Here is a 17,240-nt window from a genome sequence, read left to right as displayed (position 1 = left end):
TGAAGCCCTTAGCAGCTCCACAGACATGACGCCTCCCCCAACTCCAGCCTCTGGGAGGGAAGGGATGAGACTCCATGGTGGAAGGGGCTCCTTTTCCCTTTATCCCTGTGATAAAGGACAGAGCTCGTGAAAGTGTGAGTTTCTTCCTCCCAGGACAGCCAAGAGTGTAGAGCCCAGAGCTGTGGCACCTGGGATTGTTGCACATCTTGACTACCTGTGTCTCCGACTGAGACCACGAGCTCCTCCAGAGTGAGTGCTGCCTTTTTTCCCATTGTACCTTGAGTGTCCAGTTCAGAATCCACCTCTCTGACTGTGTCTCTCATCAGCGCACTTCTAGCTCAGGTGTATCCAACCCTTAACAAGACGGATTCCTGGACCCCCTAGCCGGAGAGGCTGATTCTATAGGTGTCTGGAGGTAGAGTCTGTGTTTTGTAAGATGTCCCAAACAGCTCTGATAGGCAGTTAGGACTGGAAGGCACATGCCAGCTGGCCTATTGATCTTAACCATGTGGAGACCGTGGGACCCACTGTGGGCTTAGAGTCCCATTCCAGCCCAAGTGAGACCCATCTAGGAAATGGATGTTGATGTAGGAGGACGAGCTAGTTGAATGCACTCAAGCCAGCAGGTGGCACCAGAGGCCCAGGAATCTTCCTCGAAATCCCATCTAGGCCTCAGCTGGGACTGATATGCCCATGCTGGGGAGGGCATATCACCCCACCTTGTGTCCTCTGACCCTCTTGGGACTCACCAGGGAGGCCCGGCGGGACATGCGGCTGAGCGGCTTGGGCAGATCTGGGCTCTCCATCTGTAGCTTCTGTAGGAATTCCTGGGGCAGGCGGATATCCATGGGCAGAGAGAGCCTCTTGCTGACGTCCTGTGGTGACAGGGATGAGATGGGGACACCACTGTTGGTTTCAGGGTAGCTAGGGCTGTGGGGCTCCAGACTTTCACTCTGGACCTAGCGTTCCCTGCAGAACAACCATTCAGAGCCCAATCACAGGCTGTGACCCCAGGCTCACAGCTGCTCCCAGTGTGTGCTCAAGACATACACGTGAACACCCGGGGCTGCTGTGTGACCTTAGCACAGCCAGGTCACTCTCTGCCTCTCTGGGCCACAGTATCACCATCTGTGCAACATCAGTCTCATGCCCTTACAGGCACCGATTCTGTAAGTATATTTTTTCATATACTTGGGCATATGTGTGTGGATCAAATAGTCAAATTGTCTAGCCCTTGCTAAATTCAGGAATGTTCTAAGCACTTGGCATAGATAAACCCATTTAATCCATGATGACCATTTTAAAGACAAGGAGACCATGGTGCACAGAGGTTGAGTAACTTGCTCAAAGTCACAGAGCTAATGAATGGCAGAGGTGGAATTTGAACTCACAAAGTCTGGCTGTAAGGCAGCTGCCCTCCTGTGCACACCCTTGTGCGTGCATCCTGCCACCTGCCGGGGCAGAGCTCCAGAGGCCCTTACCTCCATGGAGAAGCGGCGCTGGTTCTGCCGCCGCTGGAACTGCACGCCAGGGGAGAGCTGCCCCGGCTCCTCCCCGCTGTCTGTTGGGGAGAAGGTGCTGCACTCCTGCGGGGGGTCTCTGCCAAGAGGACCGAGCTGCAAGTCTAAGAGGGACAGGCGTCAGCTCCCCTCCCTGCCTCTCTGTCCTGAGGGAGAGAAGGGTAGCCCCCCTCCCCCAGCGCTGTGCTCCTCCCCTAAGGCCAGTGGGGAGGGGGTGGGCGGGGAGGGGAAGGTGACTGGGGAGTGTCTGGTAGGTGGGAGAGGTGCTGGGTGGGCCCAGACCCCTCACTCTCATTCCGCCGGTTGTGGAGCTGGTTGAATTGCTCCGTGAATTCAGCCAAGGATTCTTCAATGGTCTCAGTGCGGGGCACTGACAGGGAGAAACGGCGCTTAAAGTTCTTCATCTTGTTCATGATCATGAGGGACTGGGCAGCCGGGTCCTGAGATGGGAAGTGTGAGAAGAGCAGTTGAAAAGAACAAGGCAACCAGTCCAGGTCTCCACCCACTGGGAATTCAGCTCTCTCATCAAGCTCTGTCGCCCTGTATGCCACCATCACTGGGAGCCAGGGTTGTGTCTTCTGCAAAGTTTGACCCCTCTGAGGGTGGGTGTTCACCCTCTTCTTCCCAGTCACCTTCTTCCTCCCAGTGACCCTCAGCACTGCCTCCACTGCCCACCGCCCGCCCCGCCACGCCCTGTGCAGTTCTCTATGGACCACCTAGTCCAGCAAAGTATTGGTCATAATAGCAGGCATGATGTGCAAAGAGGATCCTGAAGGCCCCCCAGACCTAAGCCCTTTAGCTGCTGGAGGTCTAGAGAGTTCTGGGGGAAGGGCTGGGGTGGCAGGGAGGGTGCCAGAACCAGGCAGTCCTTGGACCAGCAGAAATTTACCAACTTGTGTCCAAGGGCCTGAATGTGTCAACAGCCAATAAATCTTACTGACCAAGGCCCGTAAACTGAATGTCAGCTTGGCCAACACCCTTGGGACATGATTGGGTCCAAACCTCATTTCACCTCTGATACTGACACCTGAAGGTCTCTGCTCTGGCATGCCCCAGGAGGCAAGAGGGGAAAAAGAGGAGGAAGGGAAGAGTGCATCAGAGCTGGCCAGCTGCACCTTCTCTCCAGCTGAAATACAGGAGGTCAGGAGCAGTGGAAGGTCTCAGGGGAAACACGGAAGCTTGCCATTAATAGAGTCGAGCCCTAGGGAAGATGAGGCTTGATCCCTGCAGGCCTCTTCCCATGCCAGAGCCCTCCAAGCAGGCAGGTATCCCCTACCGAGAACACCATGGAGGAGCGGGGTAAGCTGCTCTGCCCACCCCCACGGTCCTGTCCCCAACCATGAAAGCTTTCTTCTTCAGGCTACCCAGCTCCTCGTGCCCTCTGAATTAGAGGATGCCCTGCTGGCCACCCAATGAGACCCATGCAACTGCTTCTTCCTGCAGACCCTCCCTTCTCCCTCCTGCCCTGAAAACCCAGAGCAGCGCTGTCTCACCTCCCCTCCACTTCCCTTCATGGTTTCCTACACGCTCAGTGCAGCCCCCCTCTCATCCTGCTCTGCACACACTGCCCTTGAGGCCTCACAAGGGCTTCCACCCATGCTGGCAAGAAGGCACCAGGGGGTGAGCCCTATGATGGGCCGCCCTGCACCCGCTCCCAGCTGTTACCCATGCACCAGCACCAGGCACAGCCCACTCCTGGAGGATGCTCTCAGCCCTGCGACTGGCCAGCACCTAGTTGCCAAGGCGACCAGGCCCTTCCCGAATCCTCCTGGTTTAAGGGATTATGGGTCAGTAACATGTTGGCTTTGCTTAATGATCACATCCTTCTGTCCTCAGCCAGCCTGGAAAGGGTCCTCTGTCTGGCAGCGCATGCTCCTGGCTGCCCCCAAACACAGCTCAGTGGTGGCCCTCCAGCTGCCCTGATCCTCATGGCTGGGTATGAACAAGCTCTCCTTCATTCCTTTAGCGGGCTGGCACCTTTCAGAGTGGAGGCCTCGGGTCTGCAGTGCTAGGCAGGCCCATCTCTGTCAGTGGGCCCTGAAGTCTCACTCAGTTCCACTGAACAAATGAACTGGCCGGGCATGGTGGCTCATGCCTGTAATCCCAGCACTTTGGGAGGCTGAGGCAGGTGCATTACTTGAGGTCAGGAGTTTGAGACCAGCCTGGCCAACATGGCGAAACCCTGTCTCTACTAAAAATACAAAAAAATTAGCTGGGCATGGTGGTGTGCACCTGTGATCCCAGTTACTTGGGAGGCTGAAGCAGGAGGATTGCTTGAACCCTGGAGGCGGAGGTTGCAGTGAGTGGAGATTGCGCCATTGCACTCCTGCCTGGGCGACAGAGCAAGACTCTGTCTTAAAAAACAAACAAACCAAAAAACTGAGCACCTACTATGCGCCAGCATTGTGCCAGGCATGAGGGTTTCAGAGGCAAGTAAAGGGTGGTCCCCATTCTCAAGAAACTCAGGGGCTGGTGATGCCTCCTTTGATGAGAAGGTAGCTGAAAGCGCTTCCTCTGGCTTCCTTGGCAGAGCCCACCAGCCTTGGACTTTCCTGACTCCCCATCCCTAAACTCCTTCCTGTCAGTCATCTTCAGCCGCTCCTCCGTGGCTCTGTGCAATGTCTCAGGCCTGCTGTCTGCAGGACTCTTGCAGACAGGAAGCTTCCAGAGGGCAGCCACCATGCCTCACACTTGTGTATAGCATTCAGGCCACAGAGATCTAATCTGGAGGCTTCATGATGGTGGCAGGGGGTGTGGGTCCCAGTGACAAGAGGACCCAGACACACCTACCTGGTGACTCCCATTTCCGAGCAAGATAGGAGAGTGGAGATGGCTCCTTGTAAAGATCAATTATTTTCTTTTTTCCTTTTTTCTTTTTTTTTTTTTTGAGATAGAGTCGTGCTCTATCACCCAAGCTGGAGTGCAGTGGCGTGATCTTGGCTCACTGCAACCTCCACCTTCCGGGCTCAAGCGATTCTCATGCCTCAGCCTCCTGAGTAGCTGGGATTACAGGCCCGCGCCACCACACCCGGCTAATTTTTGTGTTTTCAGTAGAGACAGGATTTCGCCATGTTGGCCAGGCTGGTCTCGAACTCCTGACCTCAAGTGATCTGCCCCTCCTCGGCCTCCCAAAGTGCTGGGATTACAGGCATGAGCCACAGCACTCAGCCAATTATTTTCAAAGATAGCTGAACATCAGAATCACCAGGGAGCATTGTAAAAAAATTCAGATTCCTAGGTCTCACCCTGAGATTCTGGAACTGAGGTTCTGAGAATGGTGCCTGGGAAAATGCATTTGAAAAAACATCTCCAATGATGTACACCTGGAGCGGTGACCAGGAAAACATCTAAGGTCCAGGTCAGGGACAATTATCTGCCCAGGCTTCCAGGCCACCCTCCTGTGCTGAGACGGGGGATCCTCAGAGCAGGGAAGGGAAGCAGGAGGCCCCCCACAGGAGAGGAAGTCTCTCTGTCCTGGAAGCCAGTGCATCTCCACCACACCAACTGATGTCCCCAATGTCCCCGTGCTTTGTCATGGTTGTTCTCTGGGGGTGGGGAGAGGCAGGCACTTGGCTCCCTGAGGTCTGAGCTCTGCCAGGAGGGAGACCAGCCACACCCCTTTCTAAAAACAGGGCTTCCCCATAAAACCGTCCTGCAGTCTGGGATTTATGGGATGGCATGTTGGATTTGCGGCTCAGGAATCTACAAGTAGCAACCATAAATCTCACACCCTTGCTCTTGCTTGTAGGGTGAGGGGAGGGGAGCTCATTAAAAGCCTCCGGGAAGGAGGCCCCCCATTTCTGCAAGACAAAAGAGATTCAGCCCTGAGTCACACCTGCTCTCCCTAAGGTTCAGTGAGGAGCAAGGAGCCACCAGCCTGTGCCTGGGGTGGGGAGGACAGTGGGGCTGGGAGCTGGAGGAAGGGTGAGGCCAGAGGCAGCTGACTGGAGCAGGAATGTGGGGCCAAGCAGTGCAGGCGATGGGGACCAGCTGTTCTCCACCCGCAGGACAGGAGCCTGAGAGGAAGTGGCTGTCACAGCAGCAGAAGGGATGGGGGTCAGATGTAGGATGGATTTCCTGATGGAAGGATGGAGGTCAGATGTAGGATGGACTTCCTGATGGAAGGATGGAGGTCAGATGTAGGGTGGACTTCCTGATGGTGACAGGGGAGCAGGCGGTGGGGGTGGTGACCACAGCAGAGTGGATGTCTCTCTCTGCTGGGGACAACCAGGGCATTGAACCCAGCAGGGTCTTGGGTGTGACAGGGCAGACTGGGCAGTGAATAGTCTGTTGTTCCCTAGGTCAAGACACAAGATGCCTCTGTCATTTTTCCCTTGGGAGAGTCAGCTCCTCAGATTTGGGGGTCGAGGGGGAAGGGAGACAGGAAAAAGGCCTGTCACCTTAGTGCTATCTACCCCTCACCCCCAAGTGGGGACAGAAGGGCTCAGTATGACCAGCCTGAGGCCAGCCCGGGGCCAGGCACAGCACAGCCTTTGTCCCCAGACCAAGGAGCCATCTGGGGCTGTCCCCGTGCAATTGGTGCCAGGGGAAGAGGGCGATGAGTGTCCAGGGATACTGGCCCGGCAGTGGGGGGTGGAGGAAGTTGAAGGAGCAGAGTCCCACTGAGGAGCTGCAGGGTGGGCAGGCAGACCCCAGCCAACCTCCCCTCCCACCTCCCTGCCCAGGTAAGTCATAAAGCTCAGCCAGCTCCAGTTGCTTCTTCCCAGGGACACAGCAGCCGGCCCAGAACCTCCTGCTGGTGCCAGAGCCATGGGTGGCACAGAAGGAGGAAGGAGGAGCCAGGCTGGGAAGAAAGCCAGCACTTGCCAGAGGCCACTGTGCCCCCAGTGAGCAGGGCTGGCCTCCCAGAATGTTAGCAGGGGAAGACGCTCACACAGCCTCCATCCCCATCCCTTGCCCAGTGAAGATGCTGAACATCCAAGAGGGGAAATGGCTTGCCCAGAATCACGCAGCAATTTCCTGGTTGTTGCCAAGTGCACAAACGTGACCATATTGCTCCTTTCTTCTCCTACCTGGAGCCCTCCCCGCCCTTGCCCCTTCCCTGTGGCCCAGGCTTGACTGTTTTCTCCTACTCTGAACTGCGTGCCAAACAAACTCAGTTTCAAACTTTGGTGCTACCACTAGCAGGCTATGGAATCGCAATGACGTGATAAAACCCCTCTCACCCCTGGCTCCATTCATTCATTCAACAATTATTGAACACCTGCTGCATGCCAGGCACTGTTGTAGACCCTGAGAATCCACAGATGAATGAAACAGACATTAATTCCTTTCCTAATACTTTCTAACAGGGGTAGGGGGGTGCGGACAATAGACAGAATGAATACACAGTATGATGGATGGTGACAAGTGCAATGATGGGAATTCATGCAGGGAAGAGGGAAGGTGTGGGAAGTGCAGTTGCAAGTTTAAGTAGGGTGGTCAAGAAGGCCTCCCCAAGAAGCAGGTGACATCTCAGGAGAAATCCAGAGTAGGTGTAAGGTGAGGGGGTCAGTCATGCAGGGTCTGGGAGAAGCAGGTCAACAAGGGAACAGCAGGGGCAAAGGTCCTGAGGCAGAAGTAAGTCTGGTTCACTGCAGGACAATGATGTGGCTGGAGAAGATGCTGGATGGGAGTGCGGAGCAGCTGTGTTGGGCCTCGAGGGGTAAGGAGGGTTTGAACGGATGAGTGACATGATCACACTGAGGCTTTAACACGCTGCTGTGTTGAGAACAGACAAGGGGAGCAAGGGGAGAGCAGGGAGCCCGGGCAGGAGGCTGCTGCTGAGGCCCAGGGGAGAGAGCTTGATGGTGGCTGGGACCAGCGGGGGGCAGTGGAGATGGTGAGAAGTGGCTGGATTTGGGCTATATTTTGAAGGTGGAGGCAAAGAGCTCTGCAGATGGATTGTATGTTGTGGGTGAGAAAAGAGTCAAGCATGACTCTGCAGCAGGGTTTTCGCCAAGCAGCCGGAGTGGAGAGATAGAACAGTCACTGGAGGAGACAAGGCATTCTGGGAGTAGTGGTTTCAGTGGGAAGACCAGGAGTTGGATGTTGGGCAGGTGACATTTTCAACGTACAGTGGTATCTGAGCAAACATGCTGGGTGAGCCAACACAACACACCACTGGCACAGGGAAGATGTCCAGCAAAGCTTGGCTCTCCTCTCTCAAGCTACTGCCCAGACAAAAAGAGTCCTCATATAAACTTCATCAAACATCCCTGCAGACTTCCTTATTGCAAGGTGCTTTTGGATCCCAGGATGGAAGAGGGCCAGGAGACAGGGAGCAGGATCATCTCTTGGCAGATGTGAGGGGGAGAAGGGCCAGGGAGGCAGGGTCCCCCCTACTTAGACAACTGCAGGGCCACGCAGGGTGGGGCCCGTGCAAGGCAGGGAACCCCGGCTACTGGCAGACAAGCCCCATCTTCTCTCTTAGGAGGAAAGAAAGCTCCACAGAGCAGGCCAGGCCAGCCCCAGGGCCCCAGTGTCCAGACAGGGCAGATTCCCAGCCCACTGACTGCTGGGACAACCTGTGCCAGGCCACAGACCTAATACCTGCCTTGGGGCTGGACCCCTGAGAGACCTTGACCTGGAGACCATGGAGGTGGAGAAGGAGGTTGACAGAGCATCCCAGGAATCTGGGATGCTGTAGACTGGAGGGCGGGAAAGTCAGCTTCACTTCTCAAGCTCCTGGGGCCAGGACTGGAGTCTTCTCTCAGCAAACCCCTTCAAGAAGCCTCTTTGCCTTCCTCTTGAACAAAGCCCCGATTCCCCAGCCTGCACCCAAAGGCCCTTCAAGATCTGGGGCCCCTTCGTCTCTGGCTTTGCCCCTCTTCATTGCCCCTGCATGCTGTACAAGTCTCTGGGGCCTTCAGGAGCTTCCTGGAACTCACTCCACCCCACCCCCAGGACCACCAGGTGCCCCTCCTTCAATGGGGCGTGACTTTTCACCTGTCTCCCTCATCTGGAGCACGTTGGTCTCTATGCCTGGTGCTGGTGGCATACAGCAGGCATGTGTCTGCTTTACAGGCACATGTGGAGCACCTGCTGTGTTCCAGGCACATGTTAGATGCATCCCCAAGTCCCTCTTTTTGTTTTGTTTGCTTTTCTTTTCAATCTTGGTCTCTGTGGGCCCAGGGGCAGGGGTTGGGGGACGTAACTTGTGGCTGCCCACTTTCTGAAGCCCAGAGGGTCTTCCCTTCAGTCACGAAGGCTGACCACCAGCCAGGATCCCTATGACACCCTATCTCCCAGTCCCTGCCCCTGCCTCGGTCACTCAGCCACTTTGGCCCTTGGGTGAATTTCAAAGAACTAGAGGCCATGGCTGACCAAGTTTGCAGACGTCATGAGCTAGGACCTCAGAGACACTCCCTCCTCCCAGGGAGAACTGTGCCTGCTGGGAGCCTGCAGATACCATCTCTTCCTTCATCCTCCAGCTGACCCTGTTCTGCACAGCTGGAGGCCTTAGTTTCCAGGAGCCTGGGACAAACCTCAGGGGAAGCCAGTCACCCCTTAGCTGCCTGGAGCTGTGGCGGCGTCAGCAGCAGAAGCCTTGGGGCCTCCTCACAACCTTGCCCTGCCCCAGCCTGGATGAGAGAGGCTGCAGGCCTGAAACCTTCAGAGTGGCCAGAAATGAGGATAGCCAGGCCTGCAGTCACCCTGCCAACAAACAGATGCTCTGGACAGTCCCAGAGCTCCAAGAGGATTCCCACAGCCTCTGTTTGGAATGCAGGAAGTAGGCGGGGAAGGCCTTCCGGGAGCAATTTGGGCAAACCTGTTGGATGTCTGCTCAGGAGGCAAAGTGGGGATCAGGGTCGCCCTTGCTCCAGACAAATACGCCATTGTCTCCTAGAGTCTCACTCCAATCAGAAATGTCCTGCAGTGAGGAACACACGGTGTCTAGCCTTGCTCTCCAAAATTCTCTGCAGTTTGGTGTCATGGAAGAAACCCCACTTAGTAGCTGTGACCTGAAAAAACACCCCATGCCTCAGTTTCCTTGCTGCTAATTGAGAATAATACTTGGCCTCCAATCCAACTGCCATCAGCGTCCTAGACTTAACTTTCTCAGCTGCTTTCTGATGATGTCGCTTGCCCATTTAAAATCTTTCAAAGTGGCTAGGCGCGGTGGCTCATGTCTGTAATCCCAGCACTGTGGGAGGTCAAGGTGGGTGGACCACCTGAGGTCGGGAGTTCAAGACCAGACTGGCCAATATGGTGAAACCCTGTCTCTACTAAAAATACAAAAATCAGCTGGGCATGGTGGCACACGCCTGTAATCTCAGCTACTTGGGAGGCTGAGGCAGGAGTATCGCTTGAACCCAGGAGGCAGAGTTTGCGGTGAGCCGAAATGGCGCCACTGCACTCCAGCCTGGGTGTTGCAGCGAGACTCCATCTCAAAAAAAAAAAAAAAAAAAAATCCTTCAAAGCTAACACTGCCTTCAGGAAAAAGTTCAAATTCCAGGGCCTGGCAGACCAGGCTTTTGGATCCCTGTCTTCTTGAGCCTCAGCTCTCACCCCTCCCCAGAAGGTCTGGTTTTATCAAATGTACCTGGCATTCCCAGAGCAAACTCCACTCACACCCCACAGCTTTGCAATCATTTGGCCTGGGATGCCCTTCCTCAATTTTTCCCTCGGTAAAACCACTCCCAAACTCAACTCATGGGTCACTTCCCCTGGGAGACTGTGCATGACCACACCTTCTTCCTCTAGGTAGAATGAGATGCTTCCTCCTTGTCCCTTCCAGAGCAGCCAGCACACACTCATAACTAGACTGTGAGATCCTTCAGGACAAGAATGGGGCCTTAACATTTTTGTTTCCCTGATGCCTTACACAGAGTAAGGAGCCCACCAGGTACTCAGCATTTGTGGAACGAATGAACAAGTGACTGAATGAGGCCATCGAGCCACTGCTTCATGATGACTTGTTTAAACCTCTTTCCTCTACAGATATGGAAACATTAGATCCCTCAAGGACAAAGACTGTATCTTAGTCACCTTTAAGATCCAGGACACACTGCCACGTGCAATAAATGTTGGTGCCTTTCCTTCCACTTTCAGGCAGGCCAGGGACCTGTTTCTAGGTGTATCTTCTCATTAGGCCATCTCCTGTCCTAGTTAGACTTGAGCATGATTGGGGTGGGCCTGGCCCTGTCCTCTTTCTGGGCACACTAGAGTAAGCCTAGACTGTCCAGTCACCCAGCCCCAGACTCCCCGGGGCATGCTTCCTCCTCAGTTTTCTTGGGTTTCAGAGGGAACAGGAATACAGGGATTGGTACCCAAGCAGATGGATGGGGGACTAGGGAGAAACCAACAACGTGCTACTCATCCTGCCATGGGGACCTCTGCATCTCCTCTAGCCCGAAACTCCACTGTCCCCAGCCAGGTGATGGTCCCTCTTCTGTGCTCCCACAGCTTTCTGACATCCCAAGGCAGGGCACTTGGCTCCCTGTCCTGTAACTGTTTACTTGTCATTTCCCTAGTTTGCCTGTGGGCTTTTTAAGGGCAAGCACTGTGGCGTGACTCGTCATTGCACCCCCAGAGCCTGACCCAAAGCCTGAGACAAAGTGAGCCCTCAAATGACCAGCAAATGAAATATGAAAGCTGGACTCGAGGCCTCAGCTGAAACCTGACCCTCTTCCTCTAGCCAGCATGTGGCCCAACAGCAGCGGGAGATGGGCTGAGGCAGTGGGGGCAGTGTCCTGCCCAGCAATTACTCCCCCAGTGAGGTCTGTGGAGGTTTTTGGGCTGGAGGCACCATCCTACAGTGAGGGGTGGACTGGAATGAGAAGAACCCGAATGAGAAGTTCCTCCTGCAACATGCATTGAGCTAGGGCCTCCAGGGCTGTGGGGAAGGGGTTCGGAGGGGCTTGTGGCCCTCTTCCTGGCTCTATCACTCAGGGAAGATTCTCAGAGCCTTGTAGGGCAGGTGCACTACTCAGGCTCAGATGTTGGCCTTGACCCCTACAGATGACCCTTTCTGACCCCACACGACCTCCTATCTAGCCCCTCTGTGTGGCTCCACTTCAGTCCTACTGATGTCCACCCTGCTGCTCTCTGGCTTCCTGAGGCTTAAGGAATAGAGGTGCATATTGCATCTTCTGGTATTTTCCTTTTGACCTTTTTTGGGGGCCCAGCTAAAGCTGGTCTGCACTCTCTGAGGAGGCTCAGGATGTCCAAGTGATAAGATGGGACAAGGAGCCCTTCTGTCAGTTCTGGTCCTGGGCGTACAGAACATCCCAGATCAGAGACCAGAGCAAGGGGCAAGGGCCAGGATAGGCCTGGCCTCCATCTCCCCCATCCTCCTGCCTCCAGAGAAAGCCCGCCTTACTCTCCCAGCCAGAGGAGCCCTCTCTGCTCCTTTTATCAGCCCTCTTTAAAGACACTCAAGGAAGGTCCTTCCCCAACTGTCCTGTGTTTTTGAGATCCCAAAGTCTGGAACCTTTCCTTAGGTCTTCCTTAAATACCAGAGGAAACAGCTTGTTTCCTCTCCACTTGCTCTGGCACAGAAACTGGTGCCTACCATCTTTTACACAATAAATTGGAGAAGAAAAGAAGAGTGTTGAGTTCACCCACCCAATAGCCCTCTCTCAGCCAGATATCCCGTGTCCAGCTCTCCTGCTGGCCTGTCATGGGACCTTCAGTCCTGTCTCTGGGTTTCTCTCCATGCCCAACTTTGGCAACAGAACTGCAGGGGCCTTTGAGCCTGGCATCCCTGGGGACCTCTCAGTCTCAGGAGGGGGAGGGAATGGGGAGGATTTCCCAGCATCTCTAAACCATATTCCTATTTATACTCCACCCCCACCAGCTGGCCCACGCCGCCCAGTGCCCACATTCTGACAAGAACCCCTGGCTGGTCGTCTCCAACTTTCCTCATTCCAATCTGAGAGACTAGCTTAAAAAAAGCAGCTTCATGTCACCGCCAAGAACTCCACTGGGCTCCTCTGACCAGCTCCCAGCTTCTGGTCACTTGGATTGCCCCGCCTCTCCCTCCTCACACTCCGCATGGCCTCCCTCCCACCAGGCTGGGCCCAGGAGGCCTCCTTGGCCTGCATGGCCTCCCCCAGGCCTCTGAACATCTCATAGTTGTTCAACTGTTCTCTAAATGTCTTTTATCAGTGTCACTCACTCACCAGGGTTCAGCCTCCTCAAAGTCACTCACTCATTTCACAAGCACCTGCTCAGCGCCAGGCACTGTCCTGGGCCCTGGGCCTCGGATTCCACTCCCTTTGGCTGCCTGGGTCTCCTCCTGCTTCTTCCTTCCTCCCGGGTCTGGTGGACTTACTTCCTCTACCTGTCCCTTGAATGTCAACACTCCCACAATTCTCTCTTTGGCCCTTTGCTCTTCCTCTCTGGGCATGCTTCCTGGGTGACCTCATCCCCTCCCGAAGTGGAAACCACCACCCGCGTGCTGATGACTCCAGATCTGTAGCCCTGGCCCCACCAAGCCCCTCAGCTCCAGATGCTTGGGTGCAGCTGCCTTCTGGGCACCCTGCCTGTGTGTCCCCCAAGGGTTCAGTTAGAGGTATGTGTGTGTGTGTTTTCTTTTGGAGACGGAGTCACCCAGGCTGGAGTGCAGTGGCGTGATCTTGGCTCAGTGCAACTTCTGTCTCCCGGGTTCAAGCAATTCTCCTGCCTCAGCCTCCCAAGTAGCTGGGACTACAAGCGCACGACACCACACCCAGCTAATTTTTTGTATTTTAGTAGAGATGGGGTTTCACCATGTTACCCAGGCTAGTCTCAAACTCCTGAACTCAGGTAATCCGCCCGCCTCGGCCTCCCAAAGTGCTAGGATTATAGGTGTGAGCCACCGCACCTGGCCAAGATGTGTTTTTAAGTGAAGAGGACAGATGTGTACAGTTTGTAAAAGCTGTACGTATGCAGGATATACACATGTGTCACAGGCATGCACATATAAACACAGCACACTGTTAGATAACCCAGAAGGTGGTAAGTCAAAACACCAGCAGTAGTTATTCCTGGGTGATAGAATTATGGGTGATTTTAATGTCTTCTTTTTGCTTATCTGCATCTTCTAATATTTCCATAATGAACATTTATTGCTTACATAAGAAGAAAATAGCAACACTTCTTTTTAAATGAAAAGAAAGTACTTTTAGATTGAGATCCTGGAGCAGTTTAGTGCAAGGCCTGGAGAGAACTATGATTATCTTGAGCAGGGGTCAGCAAACCTTTTCTGTAAGAGGCCAGACAGCCACTATTTTAGGCTTTGCGGGCCATCGTCTCTGTCGCCACTCTGCCACTCTGCCTTTGCAGCACAAAAGCACCCACAGGCAAGATGTAAATGAATGAGTTTGGCCTCACACCAGTAAAACTTTACTATGAACACTAACATTTGAATTTTATAAAATGTTTAAGGGTCACAAAACTTTATTTTCTTCTTTTGACTTTTTACCGACTGCTTAAAAATGTAAAAATCATTCTTAGCTCATGGGCCATACAAAAACTGTCGGGACTTGGCCAAGAGCCATGGTTTGCCAACCCCTAGCCTTGAGCATCCAGTGCCTGTGTAGTGTTTGAATCCAGCATCCATTTCTTTGCGAGGTAGTTGTTCTCCTCCTAATTGACAGGGCTGAGGCATTCCAGGATTTCCTTGCCCATCTCAGCATGGCAGGGACCAGGTACCCAGCCATCAGCTGGGGCAAGCCCCTGGCTCTACAGTTTGGAGGAACAGGAGGCTGAGCCCCTCTTGGGACCCCAGCACACAGCTCACCTTGTTAGCAGGACAGGCAAAAGTCGGAGCCTCAGACCAGCAGCCTCAGAGGGGCCTTTGGAAATCCCCTGGTCTGCACCCTCATGTTTCAGGCAAAGAAGGCAAGACTCAGAAAGGTGAGCGATCTGCCCGAGGCCACTGAGGGTGACAGGGCAGAGCTGGGACCACACTTTGGGCTTCTGACTTTGTGCAGGGTTGGAAGGGACTGCATGGGCCTGCGTAGAGATGGCACTCCCTTTATTGGTCACCACAGCCAAGAAAGTCACAGCATCCCCAAGGGCCACCTTCCTTGGGAAGGAGCCATGCCAGGTTTGGCACCCACACAGAACATGGCACCCAGCCCAGCCACGGCAGGGGATGCTGCCAGCTGGGCTCCACGGCAGGATCAGGGAGGGGCTCTGTGACCCCTTTCCTGGGCTCATCCCATGTTGCAGGCAGAGTTTGGGAGCCAGTGCTGCTTTGTCAAGAGTGATGCCCTCTAGCATAACACCTACCGCCCACCTGCTTCCAGGCAGTGGGTCCTGCCAGGATGTGGGAAGGACAGCCCTGTCACCTCCTGGGCTGGTCACCCCGCAGCCCAGGGTGCTGGGTGGCTGGGGCCAGAGAAGAGAAGAAGGTCTGGTTCCTGAGGAGACTCCCCAGGCAGAAAAGGGCAGGCTTCTTTAGGGAAGCAAGGTGTGAGGGCAGTAATCATTCTGGAGCTCTGAATTTCCCTCGATAATGATAAGATGGGGAACAGTGTTCAGAGTGAGGGAGGGTAGAAATTTTTTTTTTTTTTTTGAGACAAAGTCTTGCTCTGTCACCCAGTCTGGAGTGCAGTGGTACAATCCTGGCTCACTGCAACCTCTGCCTCCCTTGTTCAAGCGATTCTCGTGCCTCAGCCTCTGGAGTAGCTGGGATTACAGGTGCCTGCCACCATGCCTGGCTAATTTTTGTATTTTTAGTAGAGATGGGGTTTCGCCATGTTGGCCAGGCTGGTCTTGAACTCCTGACCTCAGGTGATCCACCTACCTCGGCCTCCCAAAGTTCTGGGATTACAGGTGTGAGCCTCTGTGCCTGGCCAGAAACATTTTAAGAATAGAGTTCTCTTCCCAATTTGGGGGCTGATCCCTGATGTTTGCAGGGACCCTGATTTCAGAAAAAAATATCAAGTGGGGCCAAAGGCACTGAGAACTACCAAATGTAGCCCATTAACTCTGCCACCACCCCTTGATAATGACATCAGGTAAAGCAAAGAGCTACTAGGTGGACATTATCTCACTGGAGTCCTCGCAATCACATGAGATAATAGTATTATCCTCCTATTTTATAAATGAGGAAACTGAAACCTGGGTGAGCAAATTACTTAACCTAAGGCAACCAGTTACTGAGTGGAAGAGGCAGAATCTGAACTGACCCCAAAGTCCATAAATTGCCTCCACCCATGGTGGACAGGAGACATACACTCAACATATAAATAATGATGAGTGCACCAGCCAGCCATTATTGGGTCATCTTGTCTATCCCGACTCCACCATTTCTAGGGAAGACTTTTATTTAATGGTGGGGGTAGGGAGGCTCAGAGGGTGGGACCATTATCAAGAGCTCCAGGAAAGAGGATCTCATCATAGTCCTTTCAAAAGTTCTGGCCCATGTCTCCCAGAGCAAGGTGTCCAGTCTCTTCAGGGTTACTCATGCTGTCAGGGAGCTTTGCTTCAAGACCCGTTTTTTGTTTTGTTTTGTTTTGTTTCTCGCCCAGGCTGGAGTGCAGTGGTGCGACCTCGGCTCACTGCAACCTCCACCTCCTGGGTTCAAGCGATCCTCCTACCTCAGCCTCCCGAGTAGCTGGGATTACAGGCACACGCCACCATGCCTAGCTAATTTTTGTATTTTTAGGAGAAACAGGGTTTCATCATGTTGGCCAGGCTGGTCTCAAACTCCTGGCCTCAAGTGATCCACCCGCCTTGGCCTTCCAAAGTGCTGGGATTACAGGCATGAGCCACCACACCCGGCCTAAGACCCTTTTCAATTTTTTTTTTGACAAGTTCTTGTTCTGTTGCCCAGGCTGGAGTGCAGTGATGCAATCATGGATCACTGCAGCCTCAACCTCCTAGGCTCAAGCGATCCTCCCCTCTCAGCCTCCCGAGTAGCTGGGACTACAGGCGCGTGCCACCACACCTGGCTAATTTTTGTATTTTTTTAGAGATGGGGTCTTGCCATGTTGCCCAGTCTGGTTTCGACCTCCTGGGCTCAAGCAATCCGCCCACCTCCCTTTTCAGTTTAAAACCAAACCTCACACTTGCCTCACTACCCCTCCTCCTCTGCAGATGTAGCTGTGGAGATTCTAGGAGCAGATGGGCTCTCTTTCAGACAGGAGGTCTGGCGGAGATGCGCCCACGGCTTTTCCTCTTCCAGACTTGCTGCTGAACCACTGGCCAGCTCCAGCCAGGCCCAGCTACCAGCTCTGTAGTGATCCTGGATCCCAGACCCTTGGCCTGAGCTGTTGTGAGCCCAGCCTGTGTGTGCATGTGCATGCAGCTGTGTGTGTGTAAGCAGCTGTGGGAGCCAGGACAAGATTAACCTTGGTCTGCTCCCACCCCCTGGATGTGGGAAAGTGCCCACTCAGCAGGGAATGCCTGGAGGGCAAAGGTGAAAAGTCCAGGGAAGGGGACGTAAGGGGTTATGGTGGGACACAGAGCCGAGGAAGAGAAATGTGACTTATTGCCAAAGGTGGGCTAATCAGGTGGGCCTGGAACCAGGCCAGCCACTCACCCTGAACAACAGAGCAGAACAGGGACTGCAATTAATTAAGTACCAGGGGAGGGTCCTCCTACCTCAGGGAAAGAAGGCGCTGCCAGAGGGCCCTCAGAGCAAGAGACTGCTGCCTCTCCAGCTCCCAGTGCCTGCCTCATTCATAACTGCCAGAAGGTAGGGCCCCCACAGCACAGATTCCTGGCCCCTCCTGGAAGATTTCCATCCAACCCATTCCCCTACCACCACCACCATTCTCTTAC

General features: G+C 54.1%; 1 protein-coding gene across 11 annotated transcripts in view, besides 5 other annotated features; it reads right to left on the bottom strand.

Moving 5' to 3' along the window:
* The window catches only part of CDK18 (cyclin dependent kinase 18), a 28,122-nt gene that overhangs the window by 7,684 nt on the left and 3,198 nt on the right, over positions 1-17,240 (bottom strand). For 3 of the 11 annotated variants that reach the window (NM_002596.4, NM_212502.3, XM_047422212.1), the window contains exons 2-4: positions 1,810-1,960; positions 1,482-1,624; positions 750-875 (exon numbers count right to left, since the gene is read on the bottom strand). In NM_002596.4, coding sequence (NP_002587.2) covers positions 750-875; positions 1,482-1,624; positions 1,810-1,939 — 399 coding nt within the window. In that variant the 5' untranslated portion in view covers positions 1,940-1,960. Of the gene's footprint in view, positions 1-749; positions 876-1,391; positions 1,625-1,809; positions 1,961-12,646; positions 12,791-17,240 lie in introns of those variants that run through there. The other 8 variants (XM_017001423.3, XM_047422202.1, XM_011509602.4 and 5 more) reach the window with 5 other exon arrangements.
* Positions 2,856-3,681: an enhancer, noted in NCBI's record as "H3K4me1 hESC enhancer chr1:205490554-205491379 (GRCh37/hg19 assembly coordinates)". NCBI's record gives its function as "activates a minimal SCP1, AML or CMV promoter by ChIP-STARR-seq in naive H9 embryonic stem cells {active_cell/tissue: H9 hESC(naive)}" and the evidence as "EXISTENCE:reporter gene assay evidence [ECO:0000049][PMID:30033119]".
* Positions 6,897-7,596: an enhancer, noted in NCBI's record as "H3K27ac hESC enhancer chr1:205486639-205487338 (GRCh37/hg19 assembly coordinates)". NCBI's record gives its function as "activates a minimal SCP1, AML or CMV promoter by ChIP-STARR-seq in naive H9 embryonic stem cells {active_cell/tissue: H9 hESC(naive)}" and the evidence as "EXISTENCE:reporter gene assay evidence [ECO:0000049][PMID:30033119]".
* Positions 8,999-9,699: an enhancer, noted in NCBI's record as "H3K27ac-H3K4me1 hESC enhancer chr1:205484536-205485236 (GRCh37/hg19 assembly coordinates)". NCBI's record gives its function as "activates a minimal SCP1, AML or CMV promoter by ChIP-STARR-seq in primed H9 embryonic stem cells {active_cell/tissue: H9 hESC(primed)}" and the evidence as "EXISTENCE:reporter gene assay evidence [ECO:0000049][PMID:30033119]".
* Positions 12,845-13,459: an enhancer, noted in NCBI's record as "H3K4me1 hESC enhancer chr1:205480776-205481390 (GRCh37/hg19 assembly coordinates)". NCBI's record gives its function as "activates a minimal SCP1, AML or CMV promoter by ChIP-STARR-seq in naive H9 embryonic stem cells {active_cell/tissue: H9 hESC(naive)}" and the evidence as "EXISTENCE:reporter gene assay evidence [ECO:0000049][PMID:30033119]".
* Positions 14,457-15,004: an enhancer, noted in NCBI's record as "H3K27ac-H3K4me1 hESC enhancer chr1:205479231-205479778 (GRCh37/hg19 assembly coordinates)". NCBI's record gives its function as "activates a minimal SCP1, AML or CMV promoter by ChIP-STARR-seq in primed H9 embryonic stem cells {active_cell/tissue: H9 hESC(primed)}" and the evidence as "EXISTENCE:reporter gene assay evidence [ECO:0000049][PMID:30033119]".

The sequence above is a fragment of the Homo sapiens genome, chromosome 1 (assembly GCF_000001405.40).
Source record: "Homo sapiens chromosome 1, GRCh38.p14 Primary Assembly".
Taxonomy (NCBI): Eukaryota; Metazoa; Chordata; class Mammalia; order Primates; family Hominidae; genus Homo; species Homo sapiens.
This window is presented reverse-complemented; position numbering and strand designations above follow the sequence as displayed.